The sequence below is a fragment of the Homo sapiens genome, chromosome 12 (assembly GCF_000001405.40).
Source record: "Homo sapiens chromosome 12, GRCh38.p14 Primary Assembly".
In the NCBI taxonomy this organism is placed as follows: Eukaryota; Metazoa; Chordata; class Mammalia; order Primates; family Hominidae; genus Homo; species Homo sapiens.
In genome coordinates this window covers 95,969,870-95,996,348 of record NC_000012.12, presented here as the reverse complement: position 1 = coordinate 95,996,348, position 26,479 = coordinate 95,969,870, and the positions used below count along the sequence as shown (strand labels likewise).

General features: G+C 43.8%; 1 protein-coding gene across 5 annotated transcripts, besides 5 other annotated features; it reads left to right on the top strand.

Annotated features, from left to right (window-relative positions):
- HAL (histidine ammonia-lyase) lies at positions 5-23,687 on the top strand. Of its 5 annotated transcripts, NM_002108.4 has the most exons (21): positions 5-271; positions 358-685; positions 1,356-1,416; positions 1,524-1,551; positions 2,185-2,259; positions 2,351-2,423; positions 2,511-2,577; positions 2,861-2,898; positions 3,544-3,669; positions 5,817-5,956; positions 8,109-8,156; positions 9,135-9,282; positions 10,189-10,284; positions 10,383-10,441; positions 12,358-12,438; positions 15,486-15,551; positions 15,628-15,793; positions 18,271-18,405; positions 19,643-19,751; positions 19,851-19,920; positions 21,977-23,687. In NM_002108.4, the coding sequence occupies exons 2-21, from the start codon at positions 439-441 to the stop codon at positions 22,115-22,117; spliced, it is 1,974 nt and encodes a 657-aa protein (NP_002099.1). In that variant the 5' UTR covers positions 5-271; positions 358-438; the 3' UTR covers positions 22,118-23,687. The 5 variants fall into 5 exon arrangements, with proteins under 5 accessions (NP_002099.1, NP_001245262.1, NP_001245263.1 ...); NM_001258333.2 differs by lacking the exon at positions 2,511-2,577; NM_001258334.2 differs by lacking the exon at positions 19,851-19,920.
- Positions 10,249-10,393: an enhancer, noted in NCBI's record as "145 bp 12:96379806 sequence used in MPRA reporter constructs". NCBI's record gives its function as "activates a minimal TATA-containing promoter with rs3213737 allelic activity by MPRAs in C283T melanocytes {active_cell/tissue: C283T}" and the evidence as "EXISTENCE:reporter gene assay evidence [ECO:0000049][PMID:36423637]".
- Position 10,321: a transcriptional cis regulatory region, noted in NCBI's record as "rs3213737 or 12:96379806 MPRA-significant variant associated with a GWAS melanoma risk locus at 12q23.1". NCBI's record gives its function as "allelic transcriptional activity by MPRAs in C283T melanocytes {active_cell/tissue: C283T}" and the evidence as "EXISTENCE:reporter gene assay evidence [ECO:0000049][PMID:36423637]".
- Positions 13,710-13,879: an enhancer, noted in NCBI's record as "experimental_31139 CRE fragment used in MPRA reporter constructs". NCBI's record gives its function as "activates a minimal promoter by MPRAs in K562 erythroleukemia cells, with activity observed for the non-introgressed 12:96376333 variant allele {active_cell/tissue: K562}" and the evidence as "EXISTENCE:reporter gene assay evidence [ECO:0000049][PMID:34662402]".
- Positions 24,953-25,598: an enhancer, noted in NCBI's record as "OCT4-NANOG-H3K27ac hESC enhancer chr12:96364529-96365174 (GRCh37/hg19 assembly coordinates)". NCBI's record gives its function as "activates a minimal SCP1, AML or CMV promoter by ChIP-STARR-seq in naive H9 embryonic stem cells {active_cell/tissue: H9 hESC(naive)}" and the evidence as "EXISTENCE:reporter gene assay evidence [ECO:0000049][PMID:30033119]".
- Positions 25,599-26,244: an enhancer, noted in NCBI's record as "H3K27ac hESC enhancer chr12:96363883-96364528 (GRCh37/hg19 assembly coordinates)". NCBI's record gives its function as "activates a minimal SCP1, AML or CMV promoter by ChIP-STARR-seq in primed H9 embryonic stem cells {active_cell/tissue: H9 hESC(primed)}" and the evidence as "EXISTENCE:reporter gene assay evidence [ECO:0000049][PMID:30033119]".

The window sequence follows — 26,479 nt, the reverse complement described above, 5'->3', positions numbered from 1 at the left end:
TCTCAGATAAAGACAGGAACATGGTGTTTATAAGCTGCCCTTAATGGCAGAGAACACAGACAGAAACGAGGGAAGAGAGAGAAATTGGGGACCCTGAAGAAAGGGGGCCAGCAGCAGGTAGGTGCCATCAGGGACAAGAACAGCACCTCCCAGGGTGGGAGACCCCAGGCCTTTCTGGCAGCAGGTCTGGATGGAAAGTGGACAGGAGGCTCACCCGTCTGCATCCCCTGCTCCTGCCCCTGCTCGGCTACAAAAACCAAAGGGACAGCAGGTACCTCAATAAATATTTGTCCAATGCATGAATGAGTAAAGGTGAAGGAGGGGGAGTGGTTTGAAAGTCTATTCTCATCCTTCCAGCTGACCACACCCCGGTAGCCACTCCTGCATAAAGCTCTCCCCTCCTGTGACCAGCTGAGGACCTCAGGCTGCAGCGGAGCCATGCCCAGATACACGGTGCACGTACGTGGGGAATGGCTGGCAGTGCCCTGCCAGGACGCGCAGCTCACTGTGGGCTGGCTGGGCCGGGAGGCCGTGAGGCGCTATATCAAGAATAAGCCCGACAATGGTGGCTTCACCTCCGTGGATGACGCGCACTTCCTTGTGCGCCGGTGCAAGGGCCTGGGCCTGCTGGACAACGAGGACCGGCTCGAGGTGGCCCTAGAGAACAACGAGTTCGTGGAAGTGGGTGAGTGGCTGCAGGAGAGGGCCGCGAACGGGTGCGGTTTGGCCTGGCTTAGTCTTTGCAGCATTGAACCCCCACCTCAGGGAAAATGATGAGCAGAGGTCAGGCTTGCCGAGGCTGGCCCTGTGCAGGCACATGCCACGCCTCTGGGGATCTTAAGTCCTCACACAACCCTGTGAGATGGGTAGGATTCTCCTCCACCTCTGATGGAGGAGAAATCAGAGAGGAGGTAACTTACCCAGACTCCAGCAGCTAGTAAGTAACAAAGACTAGACTGGTACTCAAGGCTGCAGGTCTGAATCCCTTTGCAGTGACTGAATCATTTTGAGGTTATTTTGCCTTTCGAAAGAATCCACCCCCACCCCCAGACTGGAGGCCGGCAGCATAGCATCAGTTCAGATTTTGAAGAAAATAAAGCTGGGAATGGGGATGGAAGTGGAATTCTGTCTTGAACTTTCATCTAAACCCCTGGTCTCTGCCCTGACACCTACCTTTCTGCTTTTTGCTCTCCTCCTACATAAAGATGCTAAGACCACATGAAACCATCTGAAGCAGTTTTAAAGCAGCCATTTCTATAGAATTCATGGGCCAATGATGGGCCGTTCCTTGGTTTAACAGGGGGAACATGGCTGTACAATGTGATCTGTAACGAGTCTCCCGTGCATTGTTTTAGTTATAGAGGGTGATGCCATGTCTCCTGACTTCATTCCATCTCAACCAGAAGGAGTTTATCTGTATCCTTTCCCACAGGCTCTTTGGTCTGCTCTGGGGGTGGCTCCTGCAGATGGTGGGGCTGGGGGTTTTTCCACACCACCCTATATGTTCCTTTACCTGGATACAGATACAGCAAGTACCGGGAGCCTGAAAAGGTAAGCTTCAAACCACTTTCTTTTTCTTCAGAAAATTAAGGCCCCTTATTTAAGAGGGAGGAAAGCCAGGAAAACTTCTGAGAAAACACTGTCAATTAGAACAGGGCTGGCCGGGAGCAGTGACTCATGTCTGTAGTCCCAGCACTTTGGGTGGCCGAGGTGGGCAGTTCACTTGAGGTCATCAGTTTGAAACCAGCCTGGCCAACATGGTGAAACCCCATCTCTACTAAAAGTACAAAAATTAGCCAGGTATGGTGGCGTGCACCTGTAATACCAGCTACTCAGGAGCCTGAGGCACGAGAATTGCTTGAACCCAGGAGGCAGAGGTTGCAGTGAGCCATGTTTGTACCACTGCACTCCAGCCTGGGCTGGAGACTCTGCCTCAAAACAAACAAACCAACCAACCACAGGGCTTTATCCAGCTCTGTAGTGGGGAAAGGGGGCTTGGAAAGGCATTATGCTTTTGCACCAATAAGCCTCCTCTTATGCAAGATGCATTTTTATTTAGCATATTCATGTTTCACGCAATGATCAGATCTCTGAAATGTCAGTTTGGTTCTGTTGGAGGTGTCCCTACTCTGGTTAGAATAATCAAGCTGTTCAGACTCACTGAGATCCCCTTCTTTTGTGTAGTACATCGAGTTAGATGGAGACCGTCTGACCACGGAGGATCTGGTCAACTTGGGAAAGGGACGCTACAAAATAAAGGTATGGGGAGGGAGGGGAAAGATGTCCTCTGGCCATTTTTGTTGCCCGTGGAAGTCTTTAACGTGCTCAGTTCTGATCAACATTTTCCTAGCTCACCCCAACAGCTGAGAAGAGGGTGCAGAAATCCAGGGAGGTCATAGATAGCATCATAAAAGAGAAAACAGGTATCTTTTTATCTTTATGTTATAAATATTTTTATAAACAAACAAAAATCCCTGCATTTAATTGCATAATGTCTCTTTTTATTCTAGTTGTTTACGGTATTACTACAGGTTTTGGGAAATTTGCCAGAACTGTAATTCCTATCAATAAGCTACAGTAAGTTTAAAACACACATATGTTCACGTTCCACCTACCCTCATCTTTTAAATATTTTTCAACAAGGGAAATAATTCACATTTGCCCCAATTTACAGATCAGAGGATGAGGCTTGGGTTACCTTGCATGTGAGTTGGTATTGAAAACCCAGGCTGGCTGGTTTCTCCCATTGCCTTCCTTCTGTCCCTCCAAGGATTTGACCATGATTCCCTTCATTTTCCCAGCTGAGGGAACATTTTCTCACTGCAATGTATCTAAGAGGGTTTTTACCTTTCTGTTGCAGGGAGCTTCAGGTCAACTTAGTACGCTCACATTCTTCAGGTAAGTCAAAACGTTGGGTGCCTCCTGGATCTTGTGTGATTAGATGAATAAAGCACAGCACAGTGTGAGTTATCCAGTTATAGTCACAAAAAGCTAGTTTCTCAAAACAGCATTTCAAGAACTAGGTGCCGAGGTGAGAAGGGATGCAGAAAGAATCAGCTGAGCCTCAGAAAAAGAAATGGGCCAGGTGGAGGGATGGGGTTGGTATGAGAACACATGTCCCATGCCATGGAGACACTGTTGCATTCAGGGAAGGAAATAAAGCCTGGAACTCAAAGAATGAGTTAGGATGGGCATAGTGAGATGGGAAAGACTGTCACCAATCAGCACCCATCAGATGGTAAAGAAGTTGTGCTAAGGACTCTGGATGCTATTCTAAAGGTGAGTGGGAGGTCAGGGGTTCACTGAAGCTTCCCAAAAAGGGGAATTGAGAAGGCAAAACTGGGGTCTTAACCTTTGTCAGGAAGATGGGGCTCAGACAAGTCAGACAGGCAGGAGGGAGAGTAGTCCAACTACCTGAGCCGAGAGGAGAAGGTAATAGCAGGCTGGGCTACATATGGGAAAGATTGGAGGGAGGGAGGGCAATTGTCAGGAGACAAAAAGGAGTTTGCTTTTCTTGGAGAAAACATCAATTCTGTTTTGCAGGTGTTGGGAAACCACTAAGTCCTGAGAGGTGTCGGATGCTCTTGGCTTTAAGGATCAATGTCTTAGCCAAAGGATACAGTGGCATTTCCCTGGAGACCCTCAAACAAGTCATAGAAATGTTTAATGGTAATGCAATGGCTCCCTAGACGGAACCTCTGTGGAGGCTGGACATGTACCACAGGGTAGAATTGATTGGCCAGATGCTGAGGAATCACCTGAGAAGACATGAAATAATTGAAATGAGTGGGAAATGCCGTTGGCAAAAAGTAGGATAGTTAGATGGGGGAAGAGGAGAAAGTCGATCAGAGATGCTTACTCCTATGAACTTTAACTTATTCTGCAAGACCCTTTCCCTAGCATTTGTCATCTTCAAGACTAGAACAGGACTCTTAAGTCTGCCCTTACATTCAAGCCTGCCTAGAAGAAACTTGGATTAAGTGGTACATGAATATGGTTAGAAAAATTGCATGATATCAATGTCCATCCCAAAGGCCAATTCAGTAGTTCTGGTTGGTGCCTGGGAATCTGAAATCGTAATGTCCCCCAGGTGATGGCCAGACTTGCACACTAAAATCCAACTTCTTGCAAGGGTAGAACAGAAATGCAAAGAGGTTAATGACTCCCTTGTAATCAAGAAGCCATGTAGTGGCAGGATATGAGGGAACTCAACTCTGGAGCTTTCTTCTTGGATAGGAAAATTCTAATGTGGAAACCAGATTTGCAGTGATTGGAGGTATTGTCCCTTCTCACAGGTAAGGACAAGCCTTCTAGGTCAGTGGAGACTCAGAACTCTTTGAGGGGAAGGAGAGGGAGGAGAAGCAGTGCTGAGGCAGTCACAAACAGCAAAACACATTCTTGAGTTTCCATGTTATGGACGCAAGTGGCACGTGAATAGGATCTGCCAATGAGTGGAGAGCAATTTCAATGAGCAGTCTATTGTATATACAGGGCTGTGCTGAACAGACTAGTAGTGATTCCAACACCTATTTTTACTCCTACCTTGGTCTGCCATACTATATAGCCCTAAAATCCCAGATAGTAGCACTCCAACCTTAAACCCACCTGTACTTTATGGGGGAGTCTAAGGCACCTCTGAGAATTCCCCAGCGTGAACTATCAGCCAGAAGTTGGTCTGTGGATGGCACTGCCATACCCGACTGACATTATTTAACAGTTGGAAAAAATGCTGCTGTCAGGAATCTGATTTTATTTCAGAAAAATGAAGCCTCTTTTTTGGTAACTTTTTGGGAATTTCTTAGAAAATGGCACGTGTTCATTGATAAGGGGCAGTGGAGTGTAGACTGGGTGACTGGCAAAATGAAAAGACTCAGTTGCCTATGACTTCTCTTCCCCTGGGAAACCTTGTTAATGCTTTGGTGCACCACCTCCTTCTGGAACATTTTATATTACTTTTCCAATGTTTCCAAACATTTTCCAATAGCTGTGAATGGCTAAACTTGGTCAAATGAATGTCCTTTAATTTCATATTTAGATAATTTCTAACTATTTTTCCTATAATAAACAATGAACTGTAAAACAAAAACAAAAACAAAAAAAAACAGCTAGTTCCTGATCACTTCTTCAAGATATATTGCTAAAATTTCTACAAGTGGAAGTACTAGGTTGAATTAGAGCACACAGATTTTGAGGGCTTTGCATCCAGAAGTGTCCTCCTTCCTTCTTCTTATTTATTTAGGAGACAGGATCCTGCTTTGTCACCCAGGCTGGAGTGCAGTGGCACAATCTCGGCTCACTGCAACCTCCACCTCACGGGTTCAAGTGATTCTCCCATCTCAGCCTTCCCAGTAGTTGGGACTACAGGCATGCACCACCATACTTGGCTAATTTTTGTATGTTTTGCAGAGACAGGGTTTCACCGTGTTGCCCAGGCTGGTCTTGAACTCCTGGGCTCAAGTGATATGCCCGCCTCGGCCTCCCAAAGTGCTGGGATTACAGGCTTGAGCCACTGCGCCTGGCCCTTCTTTCCTTCTTGCTGACTTTCCCTCCAGCCCTCCTTTCCTCCCTGTCTCCTCTTTACCTTTCTCTCTTCTTCCTCTCCACCCCCACTCCTCTTTTTCTTTCTATAACAATTCATCCAGGTCCCTTACATATTAGCTGGGTTTGAAGAATTGTCTTTCCCCAGGTATCTATGCCATAAAGTGATAGATATTGGAGGCAGGGTGTTTGCGGGGGCAGTGGGGGCACTCACTGGCAAAGCAAGGAGAGTCAGAATGCAGTACTCTTGAACTAATTGCTGCCTACTTCTCTCCCAGCCTCCTGCCTGCCCTATGTCCCAGAGAAAGGAACCGTTGGTGCCAGTGGAGACCTTGCCCCACTCTCTCATCTTGCTCTTGGGCTAGTTGGAGAAGGGAAGATGTGGTCTCCGAAGAGTGGCTGGGCTGATGCTAAATACGTAAGACTCGTAGCAGCTTCTATCTGCAGCAATTGCCCCAGGTTGGACACCAACTGTGCTTGCATGCTTCGTATCACCTAGTCCTTACAACAGCCCAGTGAGGGAGCTCCTACTATCCTTACTTTACAGATGAGACAGCGAAAGCTTAGAAGTCAGACTAGGCAAGACTGTTGTTAGCTTCTATACTCGGCTGTCAGCCTTCTGGGTTTGGTCATCACCTTGGTGAAAAGGCATAACTGCTACTGTTAATCCCAACTATTTATCCTGCACCTACAACATTTCCAGTGCCTAGCAGGGAGGTCACACACTCTCACAATTTTAATTACGAGCTGGTCTCACAGGTGCAGTGGTATGGCTCATAGCACTTACTATATGGCTTCTGGAAAGCAGGTTTCATTTTTCCCTAAGCTCTTACCCTAGTGGCTAATCAAAAAAGCCTGTTTTTGATAAAGCTTTGGTGTTTTCTTCATCTGTGTCTGAATTTCATTACAGCAGCATAAAGCATCATTTAATGTATCATCCCTGATGAACTGCTGGGAGCTTCCCTGATAGTAAGTGAAAGGGGTAGAGGGCCCCAGAAGAGGAAACAGCTAAGGAAATAGATAATCCTTTTGGGGATGCAGCTTCTAGATCATCTGTCTTCCGTGCAGGCTTGTCTTTGATTATTTCACTATGGACAGCGTTTTCCTCCGACCACCCTCATACAGCAATCACCCTGACCTTTCTAAACAGCAAATTCAAGCATGTTCTGGTGAAAACTTGTAATGCTTCCCATTGTCCTCAGGATAAAGGCTAAACTTAAAGTGGCTTTCAAGGGTCTTGTTTGTCACATTAGCCCCTAATCCCTTCTATGTGTGGTTCTGCATTGCAGAAACTGGAGGTTGCTTGGAGAAGGAATGTTCTGGGCAGAGGGTCTGGTACAAATACGTTCTTCTCTCTCCTATTTCTGCTTCTGAAACATCTTCTAGGGATCTTTTGAAGCCAGAAGTTCAAGACCAGCCTGGGCAAGAAAGCGAGGCTCCGCCTCTACATAAAATAATTAAAAAATTATCCTGGCACAGTAGCATGTGCCTGTAGTCCCAGCTACTCAGGAGGCTGAGGATCACTTGAGCCCAGGAGTTCAAGGCTGCAGTGAGCTAGGATTGCACCACTGTGCTCGCTCTAGCCTGGGTTACAGAGACAGGTGTCTAAAAAATAAAAAGAAAAATAGAAAAGCCCTCTAAGAAGCTTCCGTCTCCGCTGCTCCACTTCCTACCTCTCGAGTTCCTTGTGACCCTCCTGTATGCTCTCCTAGCAAATGATTGTTTTCCACTGCACCCCACCCACTTCCCACATCCTCAAGCACTGAATGTACTATTACTCAGATTGCCCTGAGCTTGCCTGTCTTCATTTTGCCTACTCCTAGACCGACCCCAACACCCAGAACAGAATCCAGCCTCTAGCTGATACTTGAATCTGTGAAATTGACGTAGTAAATGGGACCAGCTCTGTCCTTCTCTTACCTTAACTTCCCCTTCCTTCTTTCCTAGAGAGACCTTAACTTAATGACTCTCTACTTCTTTTCTTTCAAGGGAAGATTGTTCTGCCCATCGCCCCCTCGGGATTCTGTCTCCATCTAGTAGAGGGAATTTTATAATCCCCTCTTCATTGGTGCTCACACATGTGCCACAAAAACCCTGCTCTGAGGTTTTGCCAGTATTTAAATGAAGCACTAATGAGGTTAGAGGACTTTTTAGGTCAAGCTCTGGAGGCAAGGGAGCGTGAACTGGGAGGAGTCCAGCCTGAGCACAACACAGATGCATGTATGTGTGTCAGATGCCTGCATGTCAGGAGGCAGTGGTAAAAAAGGTGAACTGCTAAGGTAGAAACTGAACACGAAGGACGTAGAAACCAAAATTTAGGGTTGATTCTATAGACAATGGAGCCCCTGATTTCAGTACAAAAATTAATTGAAAGATAAGTCTGCTTTCATGACTAAAGAACAGAACTAGAGAATAGACCAGAGAACATGAATACAGCCAGTTCCTGTAGGTCTCATTTCTTATAAGATGGACTTTTGGGCATAAAGAGCTATTATTGGATTCCATATGATATTGGAAATAGGCTAGTATTTCATTTGATACCCATTTTCATATTTTTAATCATTCTATAGGTGCTAGAAGCCCATGGATTGAAACCAGTTATTTTAAAACCAAAAGAGGTAAGGAAACTCAAGAAAAATATGTTCATAGTGCATGAGTTTTTATTTATGCAGTATTTTCAGTTTTAATCTCAGCCTCAATCATTCCTTAAATGCAACTTGCATGTTTGCTTAAAGTTCATCCCTGAAGAAGGGGCAACTCCGTAAGAATTTAAAAGATTCTTTATGCCAGGCATGGTGGCGGATGCCTGTAATCCTAGCACTTTGGGAAGCCGAGACAGGTGGATTGCCTGAGCTCAGGAGTTTGAGACCAGCCTGGGCAACATGGTGAAACCCATCTCTACCCGCCCCCCCCGCCCCGCCAAAAAAGACAAAAATTAGCCAGGCATGGTGGCGCACACTTGTAATCCCAGCTACCCTGGAGGCTAAGGTGGGAGGATCACTTGAGCCCTGGAGGTCAAGGCTGCAGGGAGCCATGATCGCACCACTGCACACCAGCCTGAGCAACACAGTAAGACCCTGTCTCAAAAAAGAAAAAAAGATTCTTCATGCCACAATGCATAGGGGGTCTCTTAGGAACTTAAAACTTCAAATCGAGTTCTGTTAGGATCTCTGAGAGATAGATGTTCTCAGCCCAAATTCCTTAGAATGCTCTAAGCTAAGAGTCTTGGACCAGAATTGGGTTTTTTTGGATGTCTCATCTATAACAGTAAGAATTTAAGGAAGAAATGCAACCTAATGCACTAAAGATTTTATGTGCAGTCTACACTCCAGAGCTGCATTGCTGCTTTGGGAATGTGGATACTTAATGAGTGTTTCATTTGCCAGATTTGTGCTTACGAGTTCACATATGATAGCACTTATTCTTCAAGGGCTTAAATAAACATTACTGTCCCGCACTTTAGAAAACATAAACATAATTTTTTATGTTTATGACTGGCTAATTTTTCTCTTATGAAAGCAAAAGATACAAAATCCACGGGTATGTAGGTTCGTTACAATAATCACAGTAGGAAACTTTGCTCTCTCCCCCGACAGGGCCTGGCACTCATCAATGGGACGCAGATGATCACATCCCTGGGCTGTGAAGCTGTAGAGCGAGCCAGTGCTATTGCACGGCAGGCTGACATTGTGGCAGCCCTGACCCTTGAGGTGCTGAAGGGCACCACCAAAGCCTTTGACACTGGTCAGCAGGGTTCTTCCTTTTGGTTGTTATTCATTCAACCAGAGGTGGTGGGGCGGGGTGGCTGAGATCTTTAGACACAGAAGTGGTGGGGGCAGGTAGTAGGGAAGGAGAAAACCCAAGTGCCTGTGGCGTACCCAGTGTGCTGCCTCTTCATCTAGGCTATGGCACAACTGATCTTTGAAAGAACTGCAATTTACAGATACACACAGCCCGGAAGTTGAGTGACTTGCCTGAGAGCACCCAGGGATCTGGGTGTGTCAAGCTCTGTGCTGTCTTAGGAATCTTTTTACAGGACTTAGGAGTCCTGTAAAAAGGAGTAGGATTAGAGTTGGTCCCGACTAGAAAATTGGGGAAGAAAAACTGTCGAATTGGTAGCTTATTTAGAAAGTAGTGAATTTTGACGACCTCCCAACTATAATATGAAAAAGGGCAGAACATTGTCTAAAAGTGAATGAGTTAAATTAGGCCACTGTAGGGCTCCCTCCTGTTATTCGCCCTGTTCCTTTAAGGTAGGCCCAGTGTCTTGAGTGGAATTCCCAGTGGTCTCAACATATAGTTTGCTCTCAGATATTTAAAGTAGAAGGAGTCAAGTCAATAAGGAAAATCGTGCTTTCGGAGTTAAGTTTCTAATTCTGAGTGGTGGCTAAGGACCCCTGGGACTTTTGAGGGCTGTGTCAGCACCGTAGATGGTCCTGAACCATTGATGGTCATTTGTTCTAATATCAGAATTACTCGACCTGGCATGGTGGCTCATGCCTGTAATCCCAGCACTTTGGGAGGCCAAGGTAGGAGGATCGCTAGAGCCCAGGAGTTTGAAACCAGCCTGGGGAACGTAGTGAGACCCCCATCTTTAAAAAAAATAAATAAATGGAATTATTCAGACTTTTTCTCCTTCATCAATTCTAGACATTCATGCTCTTCGACCTCACCGTGGGCAAATTGAAGTTGCTTTTCGGTTTCGGTCACTCTTGGACTCAGATCACCACCCATCAGAAATAGCAGGTCTGACCATGTTTATGGGAGTGACCTATTTGGTTACGTGTTTTGTGAAAAGAATTGGTAACATGATCCCTGTCTCATCCCCTCCACCTCTTCCACAGAGAGTCACAGGTTCTGTGATCGCGTCCAGGATGCATACACCTTGCGCTGCTGTCCACAGGTAAAATAAAGAAAAAAAAAAAGGTCAATAAAAAATGCCAATAAAGTTTTTCTTTCCCCAGGTTCAGGATGAAAAATTTTAAAATAGGAAAGTGTTAGAAAAACATGTAATGGTCAACTATAGTCCAAATTTCTTACTGTCTCTATGAAAAGTTATGTATATTTTACCTTTATGTGTGCAATTGTTGTAAAGTTTCTATTCTATATGGTGAACTATTTGTTTTCTTTTGATTGTTCAACCTACTTTCAGAGGACAACCTCTTTTTTTTTTTTTTTTTTTTTTTGAGACAGACAACCAACAAATAACCTCTTTGATTTGGAGACAGAGTCTCACTCTGTCACCCTGGCTGGAGTACAGTGGCATGATCTCTGTTCACTACAATCTTCACCTCCCAGGTTCAAGTGATTCTCCTGCCTCAACCTCCCGAGTAGATGGGATTACAGGCATGTGCCACCATGCCTAATTTTTGTATTTTTAGTAGAGATGGGGTCTCACCATGTTGGCCAAGCTGGTCTCGAACCCCTGACCTCAAATGATCCACCTGCCTCAGCCTCCCAAAGTGCTGGGATTACAGGCGTGAGGACCGTCCCCGGCCCAGACAACCTCTTATGTTGATTCAGTGCCCTAACTTTTAAAAATTCTTAGTAATAAAATCATAACCAGTTAGTAGAGTTGTACTGTTTCTCCCTGTTAAGATGAAACTTTAACCAGATAGTCAGAGGTGTTTACAGGAAAGTCTTAATTATATCATTTTGAAACTCAGGTGCATAGTAATGGTTATACCTTACTTGCATTTTATGGGCAATATAAATTATTTTAAATGAATTTGTGATGCTTAACTTTAAATTAAAAATGCAGATGACCTGGGTTGGCATTAGGCATCTGTATTACAGATGTGTAATTTACATATGACAGTTAGAGAGCCAGTCATCTCAATAAACCATATTTTGGTCTGTGCCAAATTTCAGTCTATGGTGTAATAGAGAGTCCTCCCTAGAATAAATACCCTCATTTCCCTTTAGTCAGCAAGTTATCTTTTCTAGCTAGCTTATTGAGCAATAGATCAAAACACCTATGGGTAAGAATTGCCAAATTAGATCTACAGGAAGATTAAGTCCTGATGTAAGACTTCCCTGATATTTTAATAACGATAGCAGATTCTATGTGACAGGCACCATTATCACTGTCTTTCATTTATTAATTCATTTAATCTTCCCAACTATAAGATACTCTTTCTCCCATTTTGCAATGGGGAAACTGAGGCACAGAATTAAGTATCTTGCCCACGATCACACAGACAGATAATTACTTCCTTGACTTCTGGGAGAAACCAGAGCCAGGTGCTGCTTTATAGCATTGTGGCTATTTCTGGGGTTTGTACAGCGTAGCTGCCTTATGTGTGAGCATCTTCTAATGTGATGCCTTCGTGCTTAATGAACTTTACCGCCTTGGATAATAGCTACCATTTGAGTAATCTCTGCGAGTCACATCTAAGAATTTGTTTGCATTATTTTATGTACTTCTCAAAAGCCATAAGTGCTATTGTCTCTTTTCTAAGTCTTCCTATCTTTTAACTATAAACCTAAGGAACTTGCCCAAGTCCTACCACTAACCTGGGAGTGAATCTGCCTGTGTCTAGAGTTGGCATTCTTCCTCCCACACCATGCTGCTTTGTATAGATTGATCTAATGTGAATATATATGATAATGAATTTATTCTAATTTGTTTCAGTGAAAACCCAAAAGAATTATAACAAAATTATCTTCAGTTCAAATAATTTCCATGGTTATAACTTTAAAATAAGATCTTCTGTATTCTTTATAACTTTAAGATAAGATCTTCTATATTCTTTTAAGAATATTGGTACTCTTCAGGTAATCAAATGGGTCATATACCTTATTTTGATTGTATTTTAGGTCCATGGTGTGGTGAATGATACAATAGCATTTGTGAAGAACATCATTACCACAGAACTGAACAGCGCAACAGATAATCCTGTATCTTTTGATTGTATACTAACCTGCAATTATAGAATTGCAGCTGGTAATTTTAGGATCTACTGAAACAATCATTTTGTGTAGCTTCTCAGTTCCATTGCTCCATTTCACAGAGTAAATGAATCAGTACCTGAGGCTCAGAGGTTAACTGACTTTCTCCAGGTCAGAGCTGGTAAGTGGCAGAGGTGACCTGTGAACTTACTCTCAGGTTCCAAGTCTAACATGCTGTACTTTCAAAATGGACCTATTCAAGATTTAAGAAGATATTTCCAGCATTGGCTGACATGTTTCCTGAAGACACTGGCCCTAAAACCCACTGCCAAGGTTGTTGGTGGAAGGGTGAAGACGTGGGTCACAAATGTGATTGCAGAAATGCTGAACAATTTATGCAGGCCTCTCTGCTTTGAGTGAGAGCAGTTTGCATTATGCAGAGGTCAGCCTTTTAACACTTACCAAAGTATTGATTAAAGAGTTATGGCTTCCTCATCCTGAGGTTTTTGGCATTTTTTTTTTTGTTTATTTTTAGACGGAGTCTCACTCTGTCTCCTAGGCTGGAGTGCAGTGGTGCCATCTCGGCTCTCTGCAACCTCTGCCTCACGGGTTCAAGCGATTCTCCTGCCTCAGCCTCCTGAGTAGCTGGAATTACAGGCATGTGCCAGCAGGCCTGGCTAATATTTGTATTTTTAGTAGAGACAGGGTTTTGCTGTGTTGGCCAGGCTGGTCTCAAACTCCTGACCTCAAGTGATCCACCTGCCTCGGCCTCCCAAAGTGCCGGGATTACAGGTGTGAGCGACTACACCCAGCCCCCATCATGAGTTTTTATTTGTCATGCGCACTTTGCTCAAATTAGTGCTTTTGCGTTTGTTCAAAGAAATAGTAAAACTGATTCCATTTCTCAAGGATGGAGGTCCTCTCTTAATGGTGTGGCTTATCTCAGAGCCATCTGGTTTTTCTCTGGAATGTTCCATGATGGCTCAGTTCCCCAGATGTTGAGGTGATCAGTCAGGAGTCACACTGGCACAGTTTTCATGGAGATAGCACTGCCTCTGAAGATAATCAAACGCCTTTGGAATCTATTTTTCCTATTCCACATCTGCCTCAGTTCTGAATCCTAGAGAAAGTGCTGAGTAAGCAGCCCCAAAAGCAGGTCACAGGCTGAGTTAGAAGATGGTTATGTGATAGCTCCATAAGGTTTCCCATGAGATGGCTTTTGTATGTATGTGTTTTTTGACAAGCTTACTTCAGAATGTGTGTTTTATGTTCTCTCACATTGTTTTACACTGAAGTCAAACCCACACTAAATAAGCCTCAGAAATTGTGGGTCTCTCCATTCACCTCAATACCACCCCATCCCCCAGATGGAATAGTAGTTTTTATGAACTCTATGTAGTCTTATCTCACGTACCAGTCTTTTCACTGTAGGGAAGAGGTATCTATTCTACATTTACATCATTGCTTTTAAAGGGTATCTCATAGTTTTTAGAAATTACCATTCAATTACTGAATATGGGGCAGGGGATAATTAATTCCTCACTAAATTCTTCTGCTACCAATTGCCTCAGCAAGAATTTCAGCCAAAAGTCTTTTATTTTTTTCAATTAAAGATTGCTAATTATTGATAAATTTCCAATAGGCTAATATTTGGGAGTTCTCTTGCAATACTGCTGTTACCTGAAAGAATATGTGTCTCAATTTTCTGTTGCAGATACGGAGCCCCATCACACATGCTGGATATTATGGGAGTTAAATTCTAATTGTTTTAATCTAATAGCCAACAAACAAATTTGGAACAACTAGAGGACAATAAAAACATGTCTAAGTTCTAAATTGATGCAGAATTCCATTGCTATAGGGATTCAGAGAATGGAGAAGAGGCCAAGACCAAGGAGCTAGACCCAATGGGCTCACAGTTACACATGCAGAACAGAGTAATCCACACTTGAGTAGGTTAATGTAACACATACATCTCTAACTCTTTCAAAGTTAGAAACTTTCTTGCACACAGCAAGTTCTCAGTTAATAGGTAATGAATATTCTTGAGCCCAAGAGGCAAAGATTAGCTCTTTAGAACCAGGAAGAAGGATCTGTTACTGCCTTTTCCTGGGTGCTTGCTGGTTTAAGTAAAGTGCATGATGGAATAGAATTATCTGAGGCTGGGTTTGGTGGCTCACACCTGTAATCCCAGCACTTTGGGAGGCCAAGGTGGGCTGATCACTTGAGGCCAAGAGTCCAAGACCAGCCTGGCCAACATGGCAAAACCCTGTCTCTACTAAAAATACAAAATTTAACTGGGTGTGATGGTGCATGCCTGTAATCCCAGCTACTCAGGAGGCTGAGGCACAAGAAATCACTTGAACCCGGGAGGCAGAGGTCGCAGTGAGCCGAGATGGCGCCCCTGCACTCCAGCCTGGGTGACAGAATGATACAGAAAATAAAAAAAGAATTACCTCAGAGTAATAATATTCAGCAAATTTAAACTTGCCACCTACTTAAAATGGATTCATGAGGACATATTGGCCACCATCTGCTGTTGAACGCTGACACCAGATTACTGAGTAAAGAATTTGAAAATTTTCTCAAAATTGATTGTTCCAGACATTTTGGTAGTTGCTCATCAGCAGAGTTTCCCATTCAACAGATTCTTCTATGGAACACAAATTTGCAGTGCCCATTGAAGAAACAGAAGTTGCTTTCAAACAGATGTGTTGGTCTCTGTTTTTAGTTTCAGGCTATAAACCTTTTGAGGGCAGGTACTAACCACCAGGTTAGTACAGTTATGGTGCTTTAGAATCTAATCTCAAGAGAAAACATCATTTCAAGGTTCATGTTTTTTCAGCCTCCAAATTGGGTGTACATGATCCACCTTTAAGGCTTTTTGTTTTTTGCTTTTGTGCCCCTTTATATCTCTTGCAGGAAGACTTGTCTCTTTCCCTCCACCCCACATTTGTACACAGACTGCCACCTCCACGTTAAAAAAGAAGGCAGGAAGGGGTTGTACTTGAAGTGACCAGCAAACATTATCTTCAAGCCTTAACCTCTTTTGAAAGATGGTCTTTGCCAATAGGGGAGAGACAGTTTCTGGAGGAAACTTCCATGGTGAATACCCAGCCAAAGTAAGCTTTTTAAAACTGCTCCTGACCCAGAAGGCACATTTCAATATAGGCTGACTAAATGGAGACCCTCTTTCAGGCCCTAGACTACTTGGCCATTGGCATCCATGAACTTGCTGCAATCAGTGAGAGAAGAATCGAGCGGCTCTGCAATCCCTCCCTCAGTGAGCTGCCTGCCTTCCTGGTGGCTGAAGGTGGTCTGAACTCTGGGTTCATGATAGCTCACTGCACGGCAGCAGCCCTTGGTAAGGACACTGCCCCTTTCCCAGAACACACGCCCGTCCATCTAAGGGTCTTTCCATTTCACCTAGAAGTATCAAATGTGGTCTGTGAGTGAGATCTAACTTTTCACCACTTTTATCTGCATCCTAGTTCTCTCAGTGCAAAGGTAACAGGTTAACTCTAATATTTTTCAGAAAAAAATAGTTTAAAAACTTCGATACTGTTATGCTGAAATATAATAATACAATAATAAGGCTGTAATGGACAATTTCTCTGTGGAAAGCAATTTGACATTGCATATGAACTTCATCTCTATAGCTTTTTTCCAAATCTCCATTTGAAGACTATTGGAAAAAGACTAAGATGGTTATAGTTAATGGTGAAACTTGAACCAACCTATAATTAAACTTTGAACTTTTAAACCTATAATTAAACTTTGGATTCATTTCACTAGATATAACAACCACTAAAAACATAAAGATGTTATTGCAACATTAAAAAAATGCTTATAAGAATCAGGATACCCTCTGTGAAGATTGAGCTTCAATATAGTTTATTTCTGACTCAAGATTGTAAGAGACAGATTAACACATCAGAACAGTGCCTGGCACTAAGTAAGTACTAAGGGCCTCATTTATGTTCATTCACTTAATTGCACAATTGTCACCTGAGGTAAGTGCTATTATTGTTATCTATAGATGAATATCTGAAGATCTGAGAGTTAAGTGACTTGCCCAATATTGCACAGCTAGCAAGATGTAAAGCAGAATTCAAACCCTGAATTTTGGCATGCAAAAATGTGCTTTTACTTCAATTAATGAGGATCTCATTTTAATCAATACTTAATCCTAAAATAGGGTTGTCAAATTTAACAAAAACACAGGATGACTAGTTAAATTTGAATTATTTGGGACATACTTGTACTACAAAAATTATTTTTTTAATCTAAAATCAAAATTTAACTGGGCATCCTTTACTTTATCTAACAACCCTACCCTAAAAGGCAGGATAGCATGAGTTATTACATGCGTAGATGCTAGATCAGAAGCCCAGCTCTGCCATTTACTAGCTCTGTGAGCCTCTTTATCCTGTTGATCCTCAATTTACACCTGCATAAAATGGAGATCAGTTTACCTAAGGGGGTTGTTTGGAGGATTAAATGAATTGATGTATATAAAGCCTGGCACATCATAAGCACTAAAAAAATACTAGTTGCTATTAATATTATTCCCAACGAACACAAATAACCAACTAAGAGCCACTGAATTCACCTCCTCTGACCGGTATCTTCTATTTGCTTACTTGCTTATTAATAAAATACCCCTTTAACAGGTAGAAATTTCTCACAATAACGTAGTAGTGGGGGAGTAGTCATTGATTTCTAGAGAACAGGATGGACATTGGGAAGCCTCATTTGAATATGTTTTAGTTTCCCAAGCTGCCTATTGAGGTTGTTTGGCTTGCTTTCATTGTAGTAAAATTAGTGTTTTTCTTTTTTTGGCCCTTGTAAGTTATCTTTCCGAACAAGCCTTACCACAGTTTACTTATCTGTATAGTCCACAGTTTAGGGTCCAAGGACTTGGGACTTACAGTGCTGAAACCTGGAAAGTCCTTGGCCAACCAACATGACCTTGACAAAGTAGCATGACCCTAGTTTAAAGCGAGATCATCTTAGGATGCGATCCCATGCAGCATAGAAAACAACTGAAGCCTCACCCATGACCACTCTTAAAGCCAGAGAAAGAGGAGAAGAGACTTTGAGTCTGACCTTTCCTGACTTCTAAGCTAGGGTGAGGGAACTTCATAACCTAAGTTTTTGCTACTTATAGTGTAGTCCTCAGACCAACAATATGGCCATCACCTGAGAGCTCGTTAGAACAGCAGAATTTCACGCCCCACCCAAAGCTCAGTATATTTGTTATAACAAGGTCCCTGAGTGATTCATGTGCACTGGAAAGCTTGAGAGTCCCATGTCTTGGTCCTCCCTAGAATTCCCCCACCTCCCAGATATTTCTGGCAGTCATCGAGCCCCTGTTTACATCCATTTATGTCATCCTTGAACACTCTGAAGTGTTAAATCTTCTTGCCCAAGATTTATGGGTCCAGCCTCAGTCCCCAAATGCCACATCGGAATTCTGGTGACACAACCAAATTGACGTCAAGTACCTGAAAATGGCCATCATGTCTCTTTCTCCCCTAGTCTCCCTGGCATGCTATATGCTTCCCAGGTTGTCATCTTGGCCTTGTTATATTAGAATTCCCAGTTCTCCCATCTCCGTCTTACCTCAGAACTCACTATTGCTTTAGAGTCCTCACTTGGGGAAAAAAAATGACCTGCTTCCTTTTCCCAAAGCAGCTTTCTACCATCAGGTGCTTGGATAATGTCCAAGATCTTCTGGAGAGTGTATCCCATGCTGTGGAGCACTCTGTGGAAGCCACGGGTCCTTTAGACAGCTCATCCTGTGAGGAGCACTTCTTAACTGGCACTGGTCTCTTGCAGTTTCTGAGAACAAGGCTCTGTGCCATCCCTCGTCTGTTGACTCCCTCTCCACCAGCGCAGCCACGGAGGACCACGTCTCCATGGGAGGATGGGCAGCAAGGAAAGCCCTCAGGGTCATCGAGCATGTGGAGCAAGGTAATGCTGATGAGTTCGGGGTGGCGGGCCTGCCTGATAGACCACTGTGCCCGTGGTTCTCAAGTGGGATCTCCCACCAGCAACATCAGCATCACCTGGAAACTTGTTAGGAAGGCAGACTCTCAGGCCTCCTTGCAGGCTGGCTAATTCAGACACTCCAGGAGGAGAGCGGAGCAATCTGTGTTTAACGAACCCTCCAGGTGATTCTGATCTTCACTAAAGATTAAGAACCAAGGAACCATGCAGAACTAAGCTGGTCCTTTGGCTGGCTTTTTTTTTCTCTTTTTTTTTTTTTTTTTTTGAGGCAGGATCTCTATCTGCCACCCAGGCTGGAGTGCAGTGTTGCAACAATAGCTCACTGCAGCCTTGAACTCCCAGGCTCAAGTGATCCTCCTTCCTTAGTCTCCTAAGTAACTGACACCTCAGGCAAGCACCACCACACCTGGGTAATTTTTAAATTTTTTGTAAAGATGGGGTCTTGCTGTGTTGCCTTGGCTGGTCTCAAACTCTTGGCCTCAAGCGATCCTCCCACCTCACCCCCAAAGTGGTTTTTTTTTTAATGAGACTTTTAAAACATATTCAAAGTGGAGAGAAGAGTACCATGAACTCTCACACCCCACCTTGATTCAACAGCACATTCAATTTATGAAGTACACTATGAACTCTAGTGAGTGCAGACAGGTCACAGTGGGAGAGGATGAAGTTGTGGAATTCACGGTGGACCTGGAAGCAATTTCTCATCTTCTAGTCCAGTATCCCCACCCCGCAATTCATATGGAATTGGAAACCACGAGATGTAAAGCATCTTGATGAAATGCATACAATTATTTAATAGAACTGGGGCTCAAGATGAGGATCAGCTCTTCTTTCTGACTTCCTTCCCTACCCACATGACCCAAACTTGGCCAACAAACCTTTGTTAGAGGATGTGAATGGGGGACATGGCAGATTTTGCTAGTGCAGATGAATGGGCAGCTTCCTGGGTAGGTGTGCAGGTCTGGTAATTATTCAGGTAAATGTCTCAATTCTCCCCTTCTCAGCATTAAAGATATAGTCAAGGGGTTAGAAAACAGGTTAAAATGGCAACTAAATACCAAAGCAACTTCATTCTACCAATAGACAGAGAACAAACCATCTGTTAGTTGGGTGGTGATGGGTGTCAACTTTGGGAAATCCACATTCCTTAAGCATGAAGTCAGACTTTCATAAGCTACCCTCTTGGAATTTCTTGTTTCAGTGCTGGCCATCGAGCTCCTTGCAGCCTGCCAGGGCATAGAGTTTCTACGTCCCCTGAAAACAACCACTCCGCTGGAGAAGGTCTATGACCTGGTGCGCTCTGTTGTAAGGTAAGATCAAACAGGTCTCTGAAAATTACATCAGTTCAGCACTGTGAACCCTGGCAGGGTTTCATGTTTGGCTGATGGGCGGATGTGCTCTCCCTGTAGGCCCTGGATAAAAGATCGCTTCATGGCCCCGGACATCGAGGCAGCCCACAGGCTGCTCCTGGAGCAGAAGGCAAGCTGGCTCCTTGGCTTGTTTCTTAATTTTTAATTGTTACAGGAAAGCAAAGTCGGGGATGGAGAAACATTGCCTTATTCTATTGTTTTCTGGCCATTCCTTGGGAATGAGCAAAAAGGTATTTGAGCAACAACTTGCAGCACCACTAAGAAGCCATATAATAAACACTAAGTGCACCAGGGTGCAGCCAACGGTTGAATATCTAAGGATTAGAAACAGAAATGGATTTTAAATGGAGTTTTGGGACAATATTCATGGGGAAAAAAATAAGATGTCAGGTTCATTGATGCCTCCCCACCCCTGCAAGATGTCCTCTTTGATTCAAAAGTGCGTTCCCTTCTGGGTGATGCTATCACAACTACCACCACTGGGTGCAATGGCTGCGTAGACCTGGAGAGAAAACCAAGGCCCGGGTGTTTACTTCAGAAGACTTTCGGTCTGTCTAGTGCTCTGGTGAGATGCGGGTTTTTCTTTCTTGCATATTTCCACTGGTTACATTGACCGTATACTCAGCTGCCAGGTACAGATGCCCAGCATGCTGGCTTATCTTTTAAATATCGTTTTTGAAGTGCTTTAAACCTTTTGAATAACTTGTGGGTGTTATGTTCCCTAGAATCGCTTGATTTCCTTAAAACAGTTGCTCTGCTCTGGGGCAGTGATTTTTCCCTGTGATTTTCACACCCATTATTTCTAAGCATGCCCTGCACTCTGGATGGGGAAGCTGCTTGCCTGCTGCCAACTTTGGTGCTAGGAGGGAGGTATACGAGAGGTTAGCCTTTAAGAGTATTCATTTGCTAAGGTCATAAAAAATAATAGGAAAGGCTCCTTGGCTGTCAGTGGCAATCAGTTAAAAAGCAGATATAAACCAAAAACAGGGCCTTAATTTCATTCAATTTAAAAAAAAATTTTTTTAGAGATGCGGGTCTTGCTATGTTGCCAAGGCTGGACTCAAACTCCTGGGCTCAAGTGATCCTCCCACTTTGGCTTCTTGAGTAGCTGGGACTACAGGCACATGCCACCATGCCCGTCCAGGGCCTTACTTTGAGATGATGTTATGCTTAAGAAAAAAAAAAAAAAAGAAAAAAGAGGTTGGTGGGTGGGAGGCAAAAGCTAACCAAGGATCTGAGGCAGTGCCTCTCCAACATTAAAGTGGCTATGAATCTGCTGGGCATCTTGTTAAAATGCAGGTGTGGATTCAGTAGGTCTGGGTGAAGGCCAAGATTCTGACTTGTCCCAGGTGATGCTGATACTGCAGGGGCACAGGCCACGCTTTGAGTAGCAGGGTCAAAGGAACAGAGCACCTGTGGCATGGAAATAAGGCAATAGGGAAATACAATTCACTGCCTTTTACCATTTAAGGCTTGCTTTAGAAAACACACAGGTCCAGGCCATGTGTGGTGGCTCACGCCTGTAATCCCAGCACTTTGGGAAGCTGTGGTGGGTGGATCACTTGAGGCCAGAAATTCGAGACCAGCCTGGCCAACATGGTGAAACCCCATCTCTGCTAAAAATACAAAAATTAGCTGGGCCTGGTGGCATGCACCTGTAATCCCAGCTACTCAGGAGGCTGAGGCACAAGAATTGCTTGAACCTGGAAGGTGGAGGTTGCAGTGAGCTGAGATCATGCTACTGCACTCCAGCCTGGGCGACAGAGTGAGACTCTGTCTCACAAAAAAAGAAAAAAAACAAAAAAACAAGAAAAAAACCACATAGGTACTGTTAAGACCCTGGAGCAACTATCCTTCACTCTATCCACACTGAATTCTCTGGGTTTTGTTATTTGCTTGCTTGTTTTGCTTAGGAAAAGTATGCAGCTTAAAATCTTTATGATGACTTTAGAAAGTTTTGGACTTTGTATATTTACAGTCTTTAATGCAACCAAAGACTAATTGACACAGGTCATGTGTCAAATGGCTTAAAATAAAAGCAAGCAAACAGCAGCTGTGTCTGGTCATGTATAGAGTATGTTTTGACTTCGGATGAAGTTGATGTTTAATAGCATGTGGAAACAATGTCGTCAATATTTCAACTTTGTTTTGTCCTTGCTTTTCAGGTTTGGGAAGTAGCTGCTCCATACATTGAAAAATACAGAATGGAGCATATTCCAGAATCAAGACCTCTTTCTCCAACAGCCTTTTCACTGCAATTTCTGCACAAGAAATCCACCAAAATCCCGGAGTCTGAGGACCTTTAATGGGCTTTGTCATGAAGTAGCAGATGAGAGGGCAGTCAGTTTAGCACAAAGCAATACTAGGCTGAAGGAGAGACCTGAGAACTTTCCTAGGTAGATCAATCCATTGTATCATTCAGTTCTTCTAAAGCCTACGTTGGTTAGGCTGATGGCAGTATTATAGTTGCTAAATTCAGCACTGTGTTCCTGTTGTCGTGGTTCAAGACCCACCAGGTATTTTCAGATTATAAAACTTTTCTTTCTTTCTTAACAGTTTCAACAGGCCACTCACTCTTAAGGGTGAGAAGAATAACCACAATTGTATGTGCCTGTTTTTTACTCTTAGCATTAGATGAATTCAAATTTGGAAACAGATTGATAGCAATTTTTTCTAAAAACATTAGACTTTTGTTAACCTTTTTTTTTTTTTTTAAATTTGCTTCAACAAGCTCTCCACCAGTTGACTTTCTTTGGCTAATTTTACTTTGCATGATATGCCTTAATATGCCTTCATAAATAACCATTTTAAGTCATAATTTGTCCTTAAGCTGCTTTTTTCTTCTATTAATTGGATCATAGTAAAGAGTAGTCAATAGGGTCTTCAGCTATTAATTGTAGAGGTGATTAAAACCAACAAGGAGTTTCATGTGCAAAGGAGATAAGGAATGAATATAAAGATTGCTATTTGGGTGGCTCTTATTAAACTGTGTATTTTGTACTTATCACTACACGTATCCCCCAAATGCTTACATGGGAGTTTGAGGTTAGTATTTTCACTTCCTTGGTGTTAGTACTCTATTCACATTCTTATTGTAACCTTCCTCATTTCACAGATAAGGAATCTTTGGGGATTAACCAACCTCCTTTCTGTAATGGTAATCATTAAAATAAGTCCTATTGATAAAGGTCAGATGGAGCCCTAGAGTGTATTACTGCATCTATTTTTTTCCCCGAGAAGATAAAGGACCTTCAGGGATGGCTTAAGTGTATCTGTCCAGATGAAGGATGGGTCACATGACCTCTTGGCTTCCCAAGTCTAAGCTCTGTGACTTTGCACCAGTGTGTGCATATATGTGCAAGGCCCTTCAAGTGGTCTGAAACCGTGGCTCTAAAAACCACAGCTGGTGGAGAGGAGGACAGACACACTTGCCACCTTGCCTACCTAATTGCCATCTAAAATGGGCCGAACAGTGGATTTCACAATAGAGTTTTCACCCTTTAGATTTACAACCTGTCAGGTGGAAACTGAAGTGAAAACTGCTGCACACAGCAATTCAGGGAGCAAAAAATGTGCTGAGGAGACTGTTTACCTAAAGGTTGTTCTTGGTGCTATTCCTTGTCAAAATGTGAACACACACAAATGAGGTTTGTGCATTGTCATCCGTGGGCTGCCATTGAGCCAGTAACCCCCAGTGGTCTCATGGTGCTCTTCGCTCCAGTTTGGGGAATGCTGGATTCTTTCAGCCCCTGCAGCCCTCCAGGTCAAAATGACACTTTGTCACTGAGTTTTCTACACAGCTCTATTAGTAACTGACAGCACACGCCTTCAAGGGAACTTCAAGGGAAACATGGAATAAACTAAGTCTCAATTGCCTTATGGTGTCGCTTTATTCTTAGGTATTTATAGCAAAGTTAAGCGCCTCTAACAGCAGTTAATCAAGCTTCTGAAGGATTCAGTTGACAGATGTCAACCGTTTTAAGAACAATATGCTTGACTCAGTACACTCTTTTTCCCATTGGCTAGCAACAAAAGAGTTGGAGGTATCAGGATTTCCTCCCCAGCCCCGCAGGCTCACCTGGTCTTTGTCACAAGTTGTCTCAGGGCAGCTGGAGGAGGCAAACCCTAAAGAACAAGGGCTTTTCAAGTCCCTGTTGTGCCACGTTCGCTAATGTCCTGTTGGCTAAAGCGAGTCACGTTCCAGGCCCAGAGTCAATTTGGGAGGGTAACACTCAAGGGCATGGGCATGTGATTTGACGTGATCCATGGGCCTGTATCTGACAATCTACCACATGCATAAAATCCCATCACAGGCTGGGTGCAGTGGCTCATGCCTGTAATCCCAGCACTTTGGGAGGCCAAGGTGAGTGGATCACGAGGTCAGGATTTCAAAACCACCCTGGCCAAGATGGTGAAACCCTGTCTCTACTAAAATTACAAAAATTAGCCAGGCACCGTGGCAGGTGCCTGTAATCCCAGCTACTCGGGAGGCTGAAGCAGGAGAATTGCTTGATCCTGGGTGGCAGAGGTTGCAGCGAGCCAAGATCGTGCCACTGCACTCCAGCCTGGGTGACAGAGTGAGACTCCATCTCAAAAAAAAAGAAAGAAAGAAAAAAAAGAAAAGAAAAAGAAAAAAAAGTCATTACAACCGGCAAAATTCAAAAGCAGATACATTTCATACTGCTTTAAACCTGTGTCTGATTTTTGGGTCTGGTCACTGGATTGCTTTTTATTAAACTTTATGGTTCTCTTTATGGTTCATTTTGCTTTTTTTTTTTTTTTTTTTTGAGATGGAGTCTCGGCTCTGTCACCCAGGCTGTAGTGCAATAATGCTACCTTAGCTCACTGCAAACCTCTGCCTCTTGCGTTCAAGCAATTCTCCTGCCTCAGCCTACCGAGTAGCTGGAATTACGGGTATGCGCCATCACACCCGGCTAATTTTTGTATTTTTAGTAGAGATGGGGTTTCACCATGTTGGTCAGGCTGGTCTTGAACTCCTGACCTCCAGGGATCCACATATCTTGGCCTCCCAAAGTGCTGGGATAACAGGCGTGAGCCACTGCTCCCAACTCATTTTGCCTTTTTGCTTACTTTTGTTGAGAGTATTAATTTATTAAATGTAAACATTGTAAATGTAAATGTAAATGTAAAAAATAGTTGGAGAACATTAGTTTCAGCCCAGAGGGTAGACTTCATTAGTCTAACATACAAAAGACAGTTAAATTACAATGCTACAAAGGCTATCATAGAGATGTGGGAATGTGGGGAAGGGCGTCCAGCTCCAGTTTCCCATGTAAGGAAGAGAAGGAAAGCATTCTGGGCAGAGGGAACCGTATTGCATGGCCCTGAGCAGCTCACTGTCCCCTAAGGAACAGTGTGAAGATTGGTGTGATTAGGGCTTAGAACTCAGAGCTGCTCAGACCTTAATGTGCATGTGAATCACCCGGGGCTTATTAGCATGCAGATTCGGACTCAGCAGGTCTGGGTCCAGCCAGAGGTTCTGCATTCCTAGCAAACTCCGTCAGTTGCACGGGCTTGCAGCACGCTGGCCTGGGAGGACTAGGGCAGTTTGGGTAGATGTCTTTTTCTGTCTTCTTTCAAAAAAGGCATGAATGCTATTTGTTTAAAGTGAGTGCCTCCTAGATGAAAAATCAGATGTGCTTCTCCTTCTTGTTTCTTCAATAGAAGAATCTAATCTTGTGTTGCTTGAGTTCCAGGGAAGACTCGACCTAACATTCCGTTTTGGCTTTTATGTGTATCTCCTGCGCCCCAAATGTTCAGTGCCTAGGTGACTGGTCACAGGGGAGCCATCACACACAGCAACTGTGTGCCCCCTACACTGTCTCAAGACTTCTTAAATAATCGCATGAGGTTCAGAGCTCCAGAGACCCCATTGTGATTGTGTCCGGAATTGGTGGGTTCTTGGTCTCACTGACTTCAAGAATGAAGCCGCGGACCCTCGGGCTGAGTGTTACAGCTCTTAAGATGGTGCGTCTGAAGTTGTTCGTTCCTCCCGGTGGGCTCGTGGTCTTGCTGAGCTCAGGAGTGAAGCTGCAGATCTTCGTGGTGAGTGTTACAGCTCATAAAAGCAGCGTGGACCCAACGAGTGAGCAGTAACAAGATTTATTGCAAAGAGCGAAAGAACAAAGCTTCCACAGTGTGGAAGGGGACCCCAGCGGGTTGCCAATGCTGGCTCGGGCAGCCTGCTTTTATTCTCTTATCTGGCCCCACCCACATCCTGCTGATTGGTAGAGGCTAGTGGCCTGTTTTGTCAGGGCGCTGATTGGTGCGTTTACAATCCCTGAGCTAGATACAAAGGTTCTCCACATCCCCATCAGATTAGTTAGATACAGTTTCCACACCCAGGTTCTCCAAGGCCCCACCAGAGCAGCTAGATACAGAGTGTCGATTGGTGCATTCACAAACCTTGAGCTAAACACAGGGTGCTGATTGGTGTATTTACAAACCTTGAGCTAGATACAGAGTGCCGATTGGTGTATTTACAATCCCTGAGCTAGACATAAAGACTCTCCCTTTGGGAGGCCGAGACGGGCGGATCACGAGGTCAGGAGATCGAGACCACCCTGGCTAACACGGTGAAACCCCGTCTCTACTAAAAATACAAAAATTAGCCGGGCATGGTGGCGCGCGCCTGTAGTCCCAGCTAC